Source organism: Homo sapiens, chromosome 6 (assembly GCF_000001405.40).
Source record: "Homo sapiens chromosome 6, GRCh38.p14 Primary Assembly".
NCBI lineage: Eukaryota > Metazoa > Chordata > Mammalia > Primates > Hominidae > Homo > Homo sapiens.
In genome coordinates, this window is record NC_000006.12 from 35,214,664 (window position 1) to 35,231,564 (window position 16,901).

The window sequence follows — 16,901 nt, forward strand, 5'->3', positions numbered from 1 at the left end:
CGCTGCGCCCCGAGCGAAAAGCCGGACAAGCTGGGGGCGGCAGAGAGGAGTGAGAAACTCTTGGGGGCGGTGGGCAGAAGAGACCACGCGCCTCAGAATTCCGCTCGACTTCATCCACTCCCAGCATCTTCGAAAGACTTCTTGTCTTCCAAAATCTGAGAGAGAATTTTCTCTTCTCTCAAACATTGCCAGAAACTTACGCTGTGGCCTGGAGAGACTGAGGGAATAATGAAAACTTTTCAGCCGTGCCGTATATTTCTTTCCCTTACCCCCAACCCGCATGCAAAGTTAGACATTTCTAAGTTGATGCCTTATCAGTGGAAAAATGTTGAAGAAAAATAGGATCTTTTATGGAAAAATCAACTCATCTCTCACCGGATGGTAGGGGGCTGAAGAAGAGAAGAAAATTTCTGTGACTGGCTCCCGACAGGAATGTTGCGTTTCTGCCTCTTTGGGGTGAAATCTCTTTCGTCTTGCATGGCTTTCATTTCTTATCATAATATTTATTTATTAAGGCCTCGGGTTTCCAATTCCATTTAAATCCAGGTCAGAATTGCATTAAAATAACAAAGTAGAATTCCAGGCCGGGGAGCTCTGACAGATCCCTCTAGGAATTAAAGAGAGACAGGGAGGCCTCCCGCCCCCGTCCCTGACCCCCAGCTCATCGCCTGGCAGGTCCCAAGGCTGTGCAGGCAGAGACTAGGCTGATGTACTACAGTTCTCTCGGGACAGTTTCTCCTCCCCCTTGACCTCTTGCTGTACCCCTCCCCCATCGTGTCCTCACCGACAAGAGATTTATATGGACAAAAAGAAAATTCCTCCTGGCAAGGTTTTGCCCAGGAGAGTATGATTCTGCCTATTGTCCCAGGGGCTCCTGAAGCCAGCTGGGTGAGGAGATGGCTGGGCCAGAAGGAAAGTTGAACTTGGGAGTTGGGGAAGCCTGAGTGTCCGACACAGGTCGCTGTGTCCCAGAGCCTGAGCGTTTGGCTCTTAAGCTGCTCTGTTGTATTGGATGGGCTCCTGCTCTGTGAAGAGGAAGGTGCTGTATCAATGCCGCCCTCCTCTCCCCAAACACTGCCTCTTCAGCTAACCTCTTCCCCCTCCAACCTGTCCTTTCACAGAACTGAAACACTAGAGATCCTCAGCTGTCAAATACTGGACCCTGCCCCCACACCTTCCAGCCCCACACTGCCTCTTTTCCAGTCCTGGTTCCAGACAGCGCATCGCCACTGCCACCCCCAACCTGGGAGCAGCCCCTCTCCTCACTGTGGATTTGTGTTTTCATAAACAAAGCTGGCTTTTGTAGTGTGTGCTGACTTACTCATAACATGGAATTAGGTGGGGAGTTTAGTCTGAAGGAAGGAACAGATATCATGAAGTAACCTAGAGACAAGATAAGGGCCTCTTTCAAGTTGGAGCCAGTGTCTGTAGTGGCCTAGTGAGGCTGTGGACCAAAGGAGAAGCAGTGTATTCGAGGGGGGCCCAGGGGCAGATGGAGACCCCTCCAAGGGACAGGTGCCATCAAGCCAAGGCACTCAAGTATGGGAGATCAGCTCATGATTCAGGAACGGGAGTCAGAATCCCTGCATGGTACTCCAGGGCTTCCACTTTCATTGGACTCCCTGCTGGGTACTGAGGAACATGCTGCCAGAGTGAAGGCCCCTGCCCTCAAGGAACTTAGAGTAGTTTTTGTCCCCAGCTTATCTCATTCACAGGCCACCCTTCCTGTGACTGGACCGCAGTTAGCTTGGTATCCTCCTTCTTTTCTTCTGATCCCTAAGCTTGGCCTAGAATGGAAGCCTTTCATTGACCCTTCTCTTCAGGAAATCTACAAACCCCATCTGCCAGAGGTTGCCTAATAGCAGGTTTGCTGGGTTACAGGGATGTCTCTGGACACAAACTTGCAGGCAGATGCTGCAGGAAGAACTAGTACTGACCAGGCGGGGCAACCTTACAGCCTTACCCATAGACACAGTCTGTGAGCATCAGGGAGGCCTTACCTTCAAACATATCTCCTGGTTATCAGCAGTGCCAGAAAGTGTGCCTTTAATGCCACATGCTTTATATAAAGCACTAGCAGGTCTTTAAAATCAAATACCCTTGGCAAGTATCTTGCACGGAGTTACTATACCTCTGGGGGTATCTGGGTTTCTGTCCCTTTTCATCAGTGATTCCCACAATGGGAAAACCAAAGTCATGTGGAAGGGGGGAAAGGGGGAGACAAGGAAGGGAGCCCTAAGTGTAAAGGTGAGTGTGCGACTGTGCACACATGAGAGGTTCACCACAGTTACCCACAGGCAACATAGCTGGATGTCTGTGTTTCTTGTGACGTAGTTGCTAAGGGTAAACTGCTGTTTTAGTGTCTGTGAGAACTGTATGGAAGAGTAGGTGGGTAAGCCTGTGTGACTGGGAAGGGAGGGAGCATGAGGGGACATGGTTTTGAGTGTTTTTCAAGTGCTTGTCTGTATATTTTAAAGTAGACAGACTGGATAACCAAGATAATTGTTAACTTAAAAGCATTAATTTGCTTTGCTTTTGGTAAGGGGGTGGGTGTTTGGCGGGGGGGGGGGGGGCGGGGGGGAGGCGCGGCGGGGGGGGGGGTGTGTGCAGCAGTGGTTAAAAAGACCTAATCCTCGCATAGGGCTCAGGTTACAGCTGAATGAAAAGGTCTCTCGGCCTCCAGGGAAACTTGTCCCCAGGGCTGGCTCCAGGAGAGCCAGCCTGGCCGTTTAGTTTACCTGGTAGTTTTCTCTCCTTGTTAGGGATAGAGTTTTGATAAAGTCATGCATTTAGAATTTCCAAGTAACCCCATCCCTGGGACTGAGAGCGTTCATGTGGTGGCAAACAGTGTCTCTCTGTCTCGGTGTGTCTCTCCGGGTCTCTGTCTGGGTGTATGTGTCTCTTTCTTTCTCCCACCCTTCTCTTCCTCTTTAATGTGGCTGTTTCCTTTCCTCCCCGCTTCCCTGGGCTCCTGTGGCCAGCTCTTACAGTGAGGGGACTGTTCCTACTAGCCCCTCCCTCCAAAATATGAAATGAAAACCATAACCATGTCAGCGGGTAAGGGTGGCCCCGTGGGCAGCCGGCTATTGCCTGTGCCCTGTCCAGGCCACACTGGAGAGAGGGAGAGTCCCCACTCAGAGCCTGATCTTTAGTCAGTTCCCTCTAAGCCCACCCCCATTTTTCCAGAAGGTGGAGAAGAGGGTGGACTGCTTAGAAATTCCTCAGGAATCCCTTTGACCTCTCTTCTCTCATGACATGTCTCAGAGGTGGGGAAAGCCTCGGGGTGGGAGAGTACAGAGACTTTTCCCTGTTTTCAACCCCTTCCTTCTCATCTCTTTGAGTCTCTGCAGGGTGGAATAAGAGAAAGGGGACTAGAAGACACTAAGGCCAGAATTACTGCAGGCAGAGAAAGAAGACAGTCATCAGCAGCCCTCAAATGAGATTGTTTTTTGAAACCTTCAGGAATCTGAGAGCATGAGAACCGGTTTGAGATGTGAGCAGCTGGGACCTGTTGTAAGAGGAGCCGGCCCTGGGTGTGAGTTTGGGAATGTGAAGTGTGCATTCACACACGTGTGAATGTGTGTGCATGACTCAGGGTGTGTGTGTGTGTGAAGTGCTCTGGTGAGAGGAAAAAGGAAGTGGGGCAATATGCATTTTGTTTTAGTTGGAGAAGTAAAGAAGTGGAATGGCTTGGTCCAGTGCCTTGAACTGAGGACAGGGGAAGGGAACGAAGGGCTTCAGACCTTTTGAGAAGATGGAGCTGGAAGAGCTTGCTGCCTGAACTCACTCAGTCCTTTCCCCCAGCTCTGGTCCCCAAATGTCAGGGTGTGGGCCTCCTTTGACATCCCGTATCCCTAGCACATGACCACTTATAAGAAAGAGTCCCTGTCAGGGCTGGAAACTGCAGAGCTGCTCTGAGGCTGGCAGTGCCTGCAAGAGGCCCAGACCTGGGGACAGCTTCTTCAGGCTCAGAAGACTGGAGTCTGGAAACAGAAGGACTGCTGGGCCTTGGGTATAGAAGCGAAACAACGGCCAACCCAGGGATGTCTAGGGGGTACAGGAGCTAGTCACCTGGGCTAAGAGGGGACAGAGACTCCCCTCCCCCACTGGCCACTTAACATTGGACTGGCTACTCTCCTGTTCCTATGCCCACCCAATGCCAGCCTCAAGTGGCACCGGGGATATAGAGGTATATGGTGCCAGTGGGTTTAGACAAATGCAGAGCCTAAGGATTTGAGCCTCGGAGGAAATCACTGAAATCCCTCTTCTCACTTGTAAAATATCAGTAGGGTTCCCTGCAGCCCTGAGATTCTGCACATCTCACTGAAATCCTTCCTGCTGAAGGCAGAAGGCGCCGGGCCTCCACAGGTTACTCACCCAAATCTCAGGCGCTCTCCTCCTTGGATGCTGGTCCACTTCTGCCTGCCTGAGGCTAGGTCATCTGGATACTCTTCCTTTCTTCCCCCACCCCAGTTTCCTGGAACCCCAAGTAGCTGATAGTTCTTACTGTGTCCATGAAGTGGGTATTTATCCCTGGAAATAGCCCCTGAAGAACACATGTGTGTTTCTATATGTGTGTATCCAACAAAGTTGGGAAGTGGAGCTGAAATATCCGTGTTATGGGAACTGAATATTCTTGGATCTGGGCCCCAGGATTCCGTGTTTCTAGCTCTGAGACTAGCTGTCTGTATTCTGCCCTAGCCTAGACATGTCCCCCTGCAGATCAAGCACTGCTTTGTAGTTGCTGTTAGATGCTGTGCTTTGGCTGAACAAATGGGATGATGACCCCTATATAGGGCACAGTGGTCCTTGCTCTTACCTCTGGTTTTCCCTGTGGTTATAACCATAGCCCTAGAGAGCTGTGGGGTTTGGATTTCTGAGCCTACACCAGGGGCTCTTCAGGTCTGGTCACTGGTGGTAACAAGCTGAGGAAAGACCTGGGCAGGGGCTGCAGGGCTGGAGGGAAGATCCAGGATAAGGAAACACATCTAAGGAATCCCTCTGAAAGTGGGGAGTATCAGGATATGTGGGCATTGGGGGGAGGGCTGGGGAAGGGGAGTGCTTGAAGGGTAGACCCTGGGGAGCAGGTTTACAGAGAGGACGTTTTTACAAGTTTCTAATTATATTTATTTGGAGTTTTCCTCTGGCGGTTTGAAGCTGTTAACAGCAGGAACCTGTATCCCTGGTGTTTGTTTTTGTTTCTAACCAGCTGCTTGGCCCCAGCATAGTGAATCCAAGGGCAGGCAACACCTGCCCACTGTTGCATTGCCCACCCTTTCCTTATTGCAACTGTGTCTGTACCCTCCCTGCCCACTACTCAGCCTTGCTCTCTTCTGCTGCTCCCATGCCCAAAGCCTCAGAGCATCTGCATTCCCACTGCTGATTTCCTCCCTGGATCATGTACATTTCAGCTCCTTCCGCTCCACGGTTATATACTGGATGCATGCTTCATGCTGAACTAAGTGCTGAGGTGGAGTTGGGGGAGGTACAATAATGACTAAGGCATGGATTCCTCCCTCAAGTGCTTAGAGAACACAGTGGGTAGTTAGAGAGCACTGGACTGGGAGTTTGAAGACCTGGATCCTGGCTTTACACTAGCTACTTGCTCTTTCCTGAGGTATCCTCACTGGGCCCCAGATGAGAGAGGACAGTTTGAAGACCACGTGAACCAACCTGCATGAAAAAACTGTACACTTAGTGAAATTATACGAATCTGAAATGAGTTTATTTTTTTCAATTAAAGAGATAATATTACTAATCACAAAACCAGAACCTACCCATGCCCACTGCCTGCCTCTCTGCCCCTCACTCTACAATGTTCTGTTCTTCCCCCACTTCACTACCCATCCTCTAAAAGTCTCTGATTCATGGTTGTTGATTTTGTCCATACTGAAAGGGAGAAAATTCTTGTCCAATTAGGGTTACATTCAAATGATCAGGGAGCTAGATTAGGGATAAGGCAGGACAACAGAGAGAAACTCATCAGGGTCCCCAGTAAGTGACAAGCTTCTGAGGTTCAGACCCCCTTCCCTTCAAATCACCAAACACCAGCAGCTTTTCCTGGCTGTTCAGTTGAGCAGGCTAAGCTTGAGTGAGAGGAGAGGATACTGTTTTTAAAAGGAGAAAGTGCTCTGTCTCCGCCTTGGAATCAACAGGTGGTCATTTGTGTGGTTTTCTGGACTTTCTCTAGGCTACCCTCATCCTTGCATAAGCTTTTTCTAGACTGAGGATGGGCCCAGACTCTCACTGAAGTCACAGTGCCTCAGCCAGTCCCAAACTGGGAAGACAGCCTGGTACTCCAGGCTCTGCCAATCTCCCTGGTTGCTATTTTGATCTGGAGGTAGAGCAGATATGCAGATGTGGGTACATGTGCACATGCTGTGGGTTAGGATATCATGGCCCAAGGCTGGGCTGGTTTTATTTTGGATGTTACTTAGAGGTGAGAATGAGGGAAATCACCAGGGGCAAGCAGTGGAATGCCTGTGTCAGGTGCCCCATCATTGAGAGTTAGCATGGAGGCTGAGGAACATCTGTTGAAGGGGATGCTCTGAAAAGATCCCTGTAGCAGCCCCATATGATGTCTGAAGACCCTGAGACCCTATGACTCATTGGTTCCAGTCTCTTCTGGCCCCAGCACTCATCATATGGATGCCTTTAAGTGGGTACTACCCCTCTGAATTTAGTTTCCTCTCTCCCTACTCTCCACTTGAGACTAAACTTCCTGGGACTTCCCCCATCCAGAACAGTTGTGGGATCACGGAGAGTAAAGAAGTGAGATTTTTCTCTGAGGTAACATAGAGCAGAAGGGATGCCACAGATAGAGACATTATCCACTCACTACTAATGCATCCATGTCTCCATCCACTCGTCTATCTGTTTAACAAATATTTACTAAGTGGCTTCAATGTAGAATTCATCTCTGGTTCACTGCCAAATCCCCAGCACCTAGCACGGTGCTTCGCATGTTGGAGGTGCTCAATAACTATTGAGTGAGTGAGTGAATGAATGAATGCTGAGCTCTATTTCAGTTGCTGCATGGGTTTCAAAGCTTTAGGAGCCATGGCCTCAAGCTCCTACTGCTTCAGTAGGAAAATTATACACATGAACTAAAAGTTAAATAATGGTACAAGGTAGCATATGAGGTATCACAAGCCTGGGATTGATCAGGTGACCAGAGAGCCTGACAGTAAGTCTTAGGAGTCAAGAGAAAGAGTAGATCAGAGAAGGCTGGTAGTGTCACAGGGAGTGTCCCAGCAGAGGCACCTGAACTGGGTCCTCAAGGACATTCAAGGAGAGGAAAATAGCAGAGTGCGCTACACACACCATATATCCTGGGCTAGCCTGGCTGGGCTGAGGATGTCACAGCTATGTGGGTGGGTACATTAGGGCTCTAGGCAGGCTGTTTCTGACTGTCCCACTGGGCCCATCAAATTTGCCCACAATTACCCCCTCCCCTATGGGTGGTAAGGTAATAATTCCTGTGGTAATGGGAAGGTGGGGTGGACTCTACCTAGGGGGTCTGCTTGTCCACAGCCGGCATCCCTGCTCATTTCCATTTGTTACTGTTCCTGAGCTGGGCTTGGGCAAACTTGTGAAGTAGATGAAGTATTTACTTGGGAATCCCACTGCTTCCCTTTTAGGGTACACCTGCCCATCCTCAGAATCTTAGGACTACTTGTTTTATAATAATCCACCCTTTCTGGTCTGACCCTCTGACCCTCATATCCCATACCCCATCCTACCCTTCCTACCTACTTTAGGAGAGTTTATGGAGTGCTCTGCTAGGCGCTAAAGCAAATTCAGAAGAAATGTCAGATGGTACTGGGAAAAGCTGCTGTAGTTACAGACCTGTGCCTTCATGCCAGGACAGGGCGAGGCAGGGAGGTCTTGGCTTGTCTATGGTATCTGTGCAGCCACCACTCTCCCCCACCTCAACTTTGGTTCCAATGCATGGCCTGAAGTAGGAGTGGGATCTCCCTAGCCTTCAAAAAGAATTGTAGAGGACAGCTTTTGGGTTCCCAACTGGCCTCTCACCCACTTCACCCCCATTCTTTGTGCAGTTCCCAGCACAGGTAGAGTAAGCAGTGGGGATGTGTCTCCCCAAATCCTCCCCACCAACACATGCTCACCTGGTGCTGCATTTCCCCACACCAGGCCTGAAATGGGGCTTTGATAGGGAAAGGGAGTTCAGAAAGAATACAGGGAGAAGGTTGGAGAGAAGGAATAATAGTAGCAAACCTTGGCTAGGCATGGCGACTCACACCTGTAATACCAGCACTTTGGGAGGCTGACATGAGAGGGTCGTTCAAATCCAGGAGTTCGAGACCAGCTTGGGCAACATAGCAAGACCCTGCCTCTAAAAATTTTAAAAAATTGGCTGAGCATGATGCCACGCGCATATAGTCCCAGTTACTCAGTAGGCTGAGGTGGGAGGATCACTTGAGCCCAGGATTTCGAGGTTGCAGTGAGCTATGTTCATGCCATTGCATTCCTGCCTGGATAAGCAGAGCAAGACCCTGTCTCTGTTTCAAAAAGAAAGAAAAAAATAGCAAACCTTTGTTGAGCACTTTCTATATGCCCACACTGTGGTGTTAAGTACTTGATGGGTATTAATTCAACTGATGTTCCTGGAAGCCCCATGGGGAGGTACTATGATGAATATTATTCCCACATACAGAGGAGGGAACAGGTAAGTTCAGAGGCTGGCCCAGGACCACACAGACACAGGTAGAGCTAGCAATTGAACTGACAATGTTGCTCCAGAACCTCTCTCTTAACTACTCTGTCATGTGGCTGCCCTGGTCTCTTCCCAGCTTGGGCAAATAGTTTATTGGCATTACCTTGGGAAAGGAAGACAGATAGTAGCCACAGCCTCACCCTGGAGATCCTGATTCAGCTGGTCTAGGGGACATCTGTACATTCACATTTTTTTCAAAACCCCCAGGGAATTCCAGTGTGTAGCCCCAGGGTTGAGAACCGCTGGTTTAAACCAGTCCACACCCAGTAGCATCAACTGGTTTTCCAGCTAGTAAGCACCTGCATCCTGAGAGAACAGGCTAAGATGAGACTGTGCTGTGAGCGTTGAAGGGTCCTTGCAAGGACAAATTCTGGGTGGGCACATATGGTAGGAGAGAACTCTGGAAGAATGAGTGGTAAAAGGAGGAGATACTGGGTATAATTTGGGGCCCTCTTTCACAGCTTTGTCTTAGGTCTGTTCTGCTTCAAAAGACTCCAACCAAACATTGAAGGGACATCTTCCTCAGCAGGTACCCAGCCAGGTGAGGAAAGCTGAACACGCTTTAAAGTATTAGCAGAGCAATTCAGTGACGGCTGTAAATGAACTGAGGAGAACAGTCCCCTTGGACCAGGAACTCACCAGGAACGGGGCTTACAAGGAAGAGCTTTTGGGAAGAAAAATTTGAGCTGGAATGGAAAGCTGAGCATAGTGTGGCTGGAAGAGAAAAATGAGGAATGCATCTGCAATGTGAATAACGAAAATACGCAAATGCATAGAAAGGAATAGGATGGTTAGGTATTGTAGAGGGAACAGGAAGAGATAATGTCTTCCAGAGCAGAGACTCTTTGCTGGAGAGGGATAAGCATTGTGAGCAGGGAGGTAAGGGAGAGGGGTTAGTTAGATGGTGGGAGAAGTCTGGCTGTAGGAGGGGTCTAAAAAATCTGTGGCCAGGTGTAGTGGCTCGCGCCTGTAATCCCAGCACTTTGGGAGGCTAAGGCGGGCAGATCACTTGAGGTCAGGAGTTCGAGACCAGCCTGGCCAATGTGGCAAAACCATGTCTCTATTAATAATACAAAAATTAGCCAAGTGTGGTGGCACATGCCTGTAATCCCAGATACTCAGGAGGCTGAGGCAGAAGAATAGCTTGAACCTGGGAGGCAGAGGTTGCAGTGAGCCGAGATCACACCACTACTGTACTCCAGCCTGGGTGACAGACCGAGACTTCATCTCAAAAAAAAAAAAAAAAAAAAAAAAAAGAATCTGCTGGGAGGCCTGGGTTTGTGGTGATCAGCATCAAGATCCACTCTAGTACTGGTGAGCACTGAATGGGAGGCAAAGGAAAGAATTGGGAGCCCATATAGTCTGACACAGTCTCTAGTGAAGCACCAGCTGATTCAGTCACAGGCACATACCTCTGATATGGTCAGGGGAGCAGTTCCAGACCAGTATCCGTGCTGCTGGACCCAGGGAGTATCTCTTATTCAGAACCCCAGAGCAGTGCTATCCTGTGGTGTGCTAATAGCAGTGCTATTTCTGTGGTGTTGGAAATGTTCCATATCTATGCTTTCCGCCATGGTAGCCACTAGCCACATGTGGCTATTGCGCATTTGGCCTGTGGCTAGTGCAACTGAGGAAGTGAATTTTAAATTAAATAACCACATGTGGCTAGTGGCTGTCATACTGTCTCGAGCATCTATTGCCTGACCAGTGATTTAATACCATCTCAAGCTTCCTGTATTGGGACCCTACTGTTTACCAGATACTTTATTAGCCAATTTACACAAATTATCCCATCAGCTACTCACAGCCTCTCATGAGGAGGTATTATCATCCCCATTTTAAGGGGGAGGAGATGGAGAATAAGAAAACCATCCCTAGAGAAGGGTAGAGCTGGATTTGAATCTGGGACTGACTGGTTCCAGTGCTTAAGATCGTTCTGTGATAGCACATTTCTTTGTACTGTTTTCTGTTTATCAGTTGGACAAACTGATTCTCCACAGAGCACCTTACCATCTGCGAGGTCCCTCTTGCCCTTACCTATGAACTAGTCTTCCATGCCCTCTCTTTTCCATTCTGTCACGTTGGGATGACTTCCCAGGATGGGCCAGCAGGTAGACACCATGCCTATGGAGCCTGAGCGAGGTGGAGAGTAAGTGTAGACAGAGGCTCCCAGCACTTAGAATCAACTGGTATGATGGTTGGCTGCATAGGAGTTGAAGGGTAGAATGAAGAGCTGAACGGAAACCTGTGAGATTTGAGGCAGGGTGTTTGGGGATTTCAGTTCTCTTCTTAGCCCCAGGAAGTTTCAGAGTATAAAAGCGGAGGACAGATAACTGTCTCAAGCTAGGACTCTGGGTATCTATAAATTGGAGAGAATACTGGTCCATGCATCCATTCACTCAGTAAAAATAATCACTTAAGGATTTGGATTCAAAAAGGCTATAATGAGTCCTGAGAATCTGCATTTTAATAAAACCTAGGCAATTCTATGGCCCATAGATCACACTTGGATATCAAATTGTCTTGGTGTCAAATCTCATCTCCTTTCTGTGCTCAGTTGTGGGATCACAGGAGAGTAATGCCTCCCATTCAGTGATCACTCACTTGCAGGCTGCTACTTAAGACACTATTTTGGGTTTCCCAGTTTCCAGCTGGAAGTAATCTCTTTCTCCTCTGATCTGCCCCGTAACACAGGTTCTCAACCTTGACTACACATTAGAATAACTGGAAGAGCTTTAGAAAAATACTGATGGCCCGGCACCAGTCCAGGCTATCTGACCAGAATCTCTGGGGTTGTGGCTTGGACATCTCCTAGGAGAGTTGACTCTGATGTGCAGGGTGGAGGACCCCCTCACCTTATCTCTCATGTCTTCAGGGCATGTACCACATTCTGCTCCATGTTTTTTGTTTCTCCTTTTGGCTGGGCTGAGTCACCTTTGAGCCTCCACAGCTATCATTATAGTGTCTTTCACAAACACACTCAATAAGGCGTTTTCAACTGAATAACATGTTTCTCTATTTCAGTTCAGATTTAAGGGCACCATAATATTGCCTCAGAAGTTGGACTCTTTTCTATGTCCTTTTTTTTTTTTTTTTTTTTTTGAGATAGAGTCTCACTGTCGCCCAGGCTGGAGTGCATTAGCGCGATCTCAGCTCACTGCAACCTCCGCCTCCCTGGTTCAAGCGATTCTCCTGCCACAGCCTCCTGAGTAGCTGGGATTACAGGCACACATCACCACACCTGGCTAATTTTTGTATTTTTAGTAGAGATGGGGTTTCATCAAGGTCAGGCTGGTCTCGAACTCCTGACCTCATGATCCACCTGCCTTGGCCTCCCAAAGTGCTGGGATTACAGGCATGAGCCACCGCGCCTGGCATCATCTATGTCCTTTCCTAACCATCCTCTTTTTTGCTAGATGGTGAGTGGCCTCTTCCTTCAAGTATAGCTGTGTGTGTAGCACCTATTGTTAGAGCTAGGGCCAGGAGACAGAGGGCTAAACACTGGGGATTAGGGCCTGAAGGGCTGCACTTATTAGGCTTCAGGTAGCTGGTGCCAACCTCTGCCAGCTCTGGATGTCTCCATTGTTGGCAGCACAGGGGCCGAGGAAAATCATCCAGGATGGAACATTTTTCCTCTAAAGCTTCTTGGCTCCATGGTGGGCAAGTGGAAGCAGGCCTGGTCTCAAGCAGAATCATGACACAGATGAAGATCCCTCAGATGCCCCATCCCCCTTTCTTCCTCCTTTACTAGTGATTGCTGGACCCTGCCACCTTCCCAGAGACCACTGTTCCCATGCCTTTTCCCTTAACTTTCCCTCTAAGCCTTCTCCGTAAACTCATTCACTTTAAGTTGATTATTCCTAATCAAGTTAAGTGTACTACCCACTCTAAGGGTTTTTTGTTTGTTTTCAAATAAAAAAAGGAGTGTTTCGAATGATGGAGTTTTAGCTGTCACTGTGAATTTAGTATTTTTGAGGGCAGTGGGGGTTCCTTCTGAATTCCCAAAATCAGTGTCTGCCTACTCTGAAATCAGAGAGATGTGAGACAGCACCTGTTTCTGGAGGGGGTCACTGCCTCTGTTTTAGAGAAGAGGGGATTCTGCCCTTGGAAGCCCACCTTCAAGACACCCCTTAAGAGGTGCCAACAGAGGTTCTCATGTGCCCCCTCTGCCCCTGCCAGATGTGGATGAGTGTGTGGAGGGGACTGACAACTGCCACATCGATGCTATCTGCCAGAACACCCCGAGGTCATACAAGTGCATCTGCAAGTCTGGCTACACAGGGGACGGCAAACACTGCAAAGGTGAGGCTGGAAGGGCACCTGGAGGAGAGGGACCTGTGGAAGAAGGCAAACCAGTGCCACTGCCCTCAGTTGGCCACTCTCCATCACATCAAGGCTAGAAATTCCACTGGTCAAGTGGTGGGGGGGTGGTGAGGGGGGCAACTGCATCTTCCCAGAGAGGGTGCCATTTTCTAATTTGCACAAAGGCACCATGCAGGCTAGCAGAGGCCCTGGTGGGGACAGTTCACAGCCCACAACCTGGCTGGGGTGGGAGCATGAAAATCATAAGACTAAGACCTGAGGTTCCCTGACATTGGAACCTTTATCTTTAGACCCTTACACCACATCCACAATGGATGGGAACAGAAAGTGTGCTTCAGAGGAAGTTCATAATGTAAACACATCTTCCCCTCATAATTAAATCAATGCAAATTAAAGTAGCCTTGAGATATTAAATTTATGAGCTTCAGTGTTGGTGAGACTTTAGTGGACAGGGTACACTTGTTAATTCCTAGTTGCATTATAAATTGAAAAGTAATTTTGTAATACCTACCAGGAATCTTAAAAGGTATTTCCTTTGATCCAGGAATTTTACTCTTGGGGACTTATTCAAAGTAACAAAATAATACATGGGAGAAGATGTTCTTTGATGCATTATCTATGATGGTAAAATAAATTAAAGAAATCTAAATCTCTAACAATAGAGAAAAAAATAGAAAAATAATATTCTGCAACCATGTACAATGGTAATTAGAAAGACTGGATGGAGACCTGAAAATGTTCATGACTTAGGTTTAAATGAAAACAGAAAAATGCTAAATGGCTTATAGGCCATGAACATAACTATGTAAACACAACCATAAGGCTGAGTCTGGGGGTGGACAGTGGGTTCGCAGGTGGGTTCAGCTGTCTCAGCTTCCCTTTGCCCACAGACGTGGATGAGTGCGAGCGAGAGGATAATGCAGGTTGTGTGCATGACTGTGTCAACATCCCTGGCAATTACCGGTGTACCTGCTATGATGGATTCCACCTGGCACATGACGGACACAACTGTCTGGGTAAGCAAAGGAGAGGGGATTTGGTGGAGGGATGTCTTGTGGAGAAAGAGATCTTTTCAGCATTTCCTATTTCCCAGGGAAGGAGGAGAGAGTGATCAAGAAGAGCTACATTCACAAGAGAATAAGGTCAGCCTCCCCTTTGAGACTGGCCACTTAGGATGAAAAATCCTGCTGGATGAAAAACATTAGAGGAAAAGCTGCTACGAAATGCTCCTAGGGCAAGGGCCAGGAGATGGGAATAGTGGGTTTAGCCAGTGGTGAGGCATGGTAGGAAGCTGATTTGGCTCCACACAGATATCTTGGTTCTGCTGCTTACTAGCCTTGGGTCTTGGGCAAATCAGCCAATCTCTGGAAATCTCATCTTTCTCCTCTCTAAAATGGGGGTGGGACCAGGTGTGGTAGCTCACACCTGTAATCCCAGCACTTTGGGAGGCCGAGGCAGAGGGACTGCTAGAGCCCAGGAGTTCAAGACAGGCCTGGGCAACATAGTGAGACCCTGTTTCTACAAAAAATAATAATAATAAAAATTAGTCAGTCATGATGGTGCATACCTGTAGTCCCCAGCTACTTGGGAGCTCTTCCTTGGCTTGAGCCTAGGAAGTCGAGGCTGCAGTTAGCTGTGATTGTGTCACTGCGCTCCAGATCGAGCAATCTTATCTCAAAAAATAACAATAAAATAGAATGGGGTGGTAATAACCCACTTGAAGGCTGCTGTGCGGATCACCACAAGACAACATATGAAAAGAGCCCTGTACAATCCTTAGCACATGGTAGGAGCTCAGTAATGGGAAGAATGTTTTTGATGATGACGACAGTGCATCCCTATGCCCCAGGAAGCCTCTGACCCTTACAGGCTTGTTTTCTCCCAGTTCTTCCTGCAATCTCCAGTCTCACCCTCTCCTCACTGATCTCCTTTGTCCCAGGAGCTGGATCAGAGATAAGAGAATCTCTAAGGAACTGAACTCAACTTTGGTCTCTGTCATTTTGGAAAATTACTGGGACCAAGTCAGACTCTTCCCCAAGCAGAAAATCTGAAGCTCATAGCAGAAAAGGATTTGAAATTTGAACCCAGGGCCTTCTCCCAAATTACTTCACCCTGTAGCCACAACAGAAAACAGGCACTAGAAGCATAAAGGACCAGGAAAGGAAGAGAAACAAAAGGAATGATGCCCAGAAAAGCAGGCTGGGCTGGTCCTCACCCACCAATTGACCAAATAGATGAATTCTCTTAAGTCCTATTGGCTGAGAAGAGCCTCCTTACTGCAGAGCTGCCTCCAAACCTAGTCATAACCCATCATTGGACCCAGGCTATAGGTTTCTACACCCAACCCTGGCCTCCAAACCCTGATATCTGCTGGGCCCTTAATCCCAGCCCTGGTCACCTCTCCTACCATTTTAGCTTCCAGGGAAGGGCCTCATATCTGCCCAGTCACCCTTGAGGGCCTCTTATGAAACTCCTTTGGGAAGGGAAGCTGTGGCACTTAGACCAGGACAGTGAGTTGCCTACAGGACATGCACATAAGCTTCTGAGTTCTTTGGCTGCCTTTGACTTTTCTAGGCCCCTGATTGTCACCACATCTCATTTCCCTATAAGTGTTTTGGGGAGAACCAACCAGAGGGACAAGAGAATGATTAGGTATAGAGAGGGTCAAGGGACAAAGATTACCTAGGGTTAGGGTTCAAAGTCTCAATACTACCTTTGGCTCTTAGGGGAATTTTGAGAAAGTTGTCCATGCTCTGGGCCTTAGCTTCCCCACTGAGAATTGGAGGAAAGAGCTTGGCTAGAGTAGCAAAGCCACAAGGTTAGATAGTAAGGGAGCAGACAGAAGGATGGCATGTAGAATGTGGCAAGAGCAGGAAGACAGGGATGGGGAGAAGTCAAGAGAACAGCAAAAGACAGGGTAGAGACAGGAGCAAAGCACAGGAAAGTACACCTTAGCTCTTCCAACAGGTGCATCTCTTGGGCAAGAGCCAGCTGGATCTGGGCCTCTCTGCCCTGGCCAGAAGGGGAAGAGAAGGTTGCAGGATCTCAGCAGAGAGGATGGGAAGAGAGGGGCAGATGAAGCCCTCAGGAGCCCAGATTCTAGCTGCTCCATTTGACAACCAATCTACGTGATGCCTCCTGGGCCAAGGCAAACTGAGAAGGGCCATGGACTTGGGAGGGCAGTAGCTAGCATAGAGATGGAATCAAGGTGTTGAATTGGGGGCTCCAGGGTGAGCTTGGCTCTAGAACCTAGGGGTGGTGATTTGGGGGTGAGAGCCTACTGTTCTCCCTGCCCCCCACCCCCACCATCTAGGGTGTGGCCTGGCAGCTCTCCCCAGATCCCTCCCCGCCAAGTTGTCAGACTTTGTTTTGTTAAGCCAAAATAGGAGAAAGGCTAGGGAATATGGCAGCAAGCCCAGGCACAGGGGGGAGGGGAGGAAGGACAGGGCTGTGGCCTGTCCACAGAAATGGTCCCTGCTCCACAAGGAGGTGAGGCTCAGCTGCCTTTCCCCACCCTGCCCCTCCAACCTCAGCACCATGGCCATAGCTCTGCCTGCACCCAGAGCCACTTCCCAGGTTCCTACATTCCCTGGCTGCTCATTGCAACCAGCTGCAACCCCCAGTTACCTATCCGACCAATGTGACCAATCTCCATCCTTACCTTCATCACTGTTCCTCTTTCTCTGGCTTCTTTCCTGGTGTCCTCTGTCTTCATACCCAGTTTACACAGGTGAGGGAAAGGGAGGCATGGCTTCACCTAGGTGACATTTGAGGTTCAAAGGTCCCCTTTTCCCCCACTTGCTTAGCTTCCCAGCTCTGCCCTCAGGGCAGCCTTTTTACA

At 48.8% G+C, this 16,901-nt stretch overlaps 1 protein-coding gene and 1 long non-coding RNA gene across 9 annotated transcripts in view; one reads left to right on the top strand and one right to left on the bottom strand.

Moving 5' to 3' along the window:
• Positions 1-16,901, top strand: part of SCUBE3 (signal peptide, CUB domain and EGF like domain containing 3) — a 39,124-nt gene that overhangs the window by 708 nt on the left and 21,515 nt on the right. For 5 of the 6 annotated variants that reach the window (XM_005248943.2, XM_005248947.2, NM_152753.4 and 2 more), the window contains exons 2-3: positions 12,917-13,039; positions 13,951-14,076. In XM_005248943.2, the coding sequence (XP_005249000.1) occupies positions 12,917-13,039; positions 13,951-14,076 (249 nt within the window). Of the gene's footprint in view, positions 1-16; positions 3,536-12,916; positions 13,040-13,950; positions 14,077-16,901 lie in introns of those variants that run through there. The other variant, XM_047418382.1, reaches the window with a different exon arrangement.
• Positions 5,707-16,901, bottom strand: part of SCUBE3-AS1 (SCUBE3 antisense RNA 1) — a 39,086-nt gene continuing 27,891 nt past the window's right edge. For all 3 annotated transcript variants that reach the window (XR_001744102.2, XR_001744099.2, XR_007059559.1), the window contains one exon: positions 5,707-16,817. This is a non-coding gene — a long non-coding RNA (SCUBE3 antisense RNA 1). The remainder of the gene's footprint in view (positions 16,818-16,901) is intronic.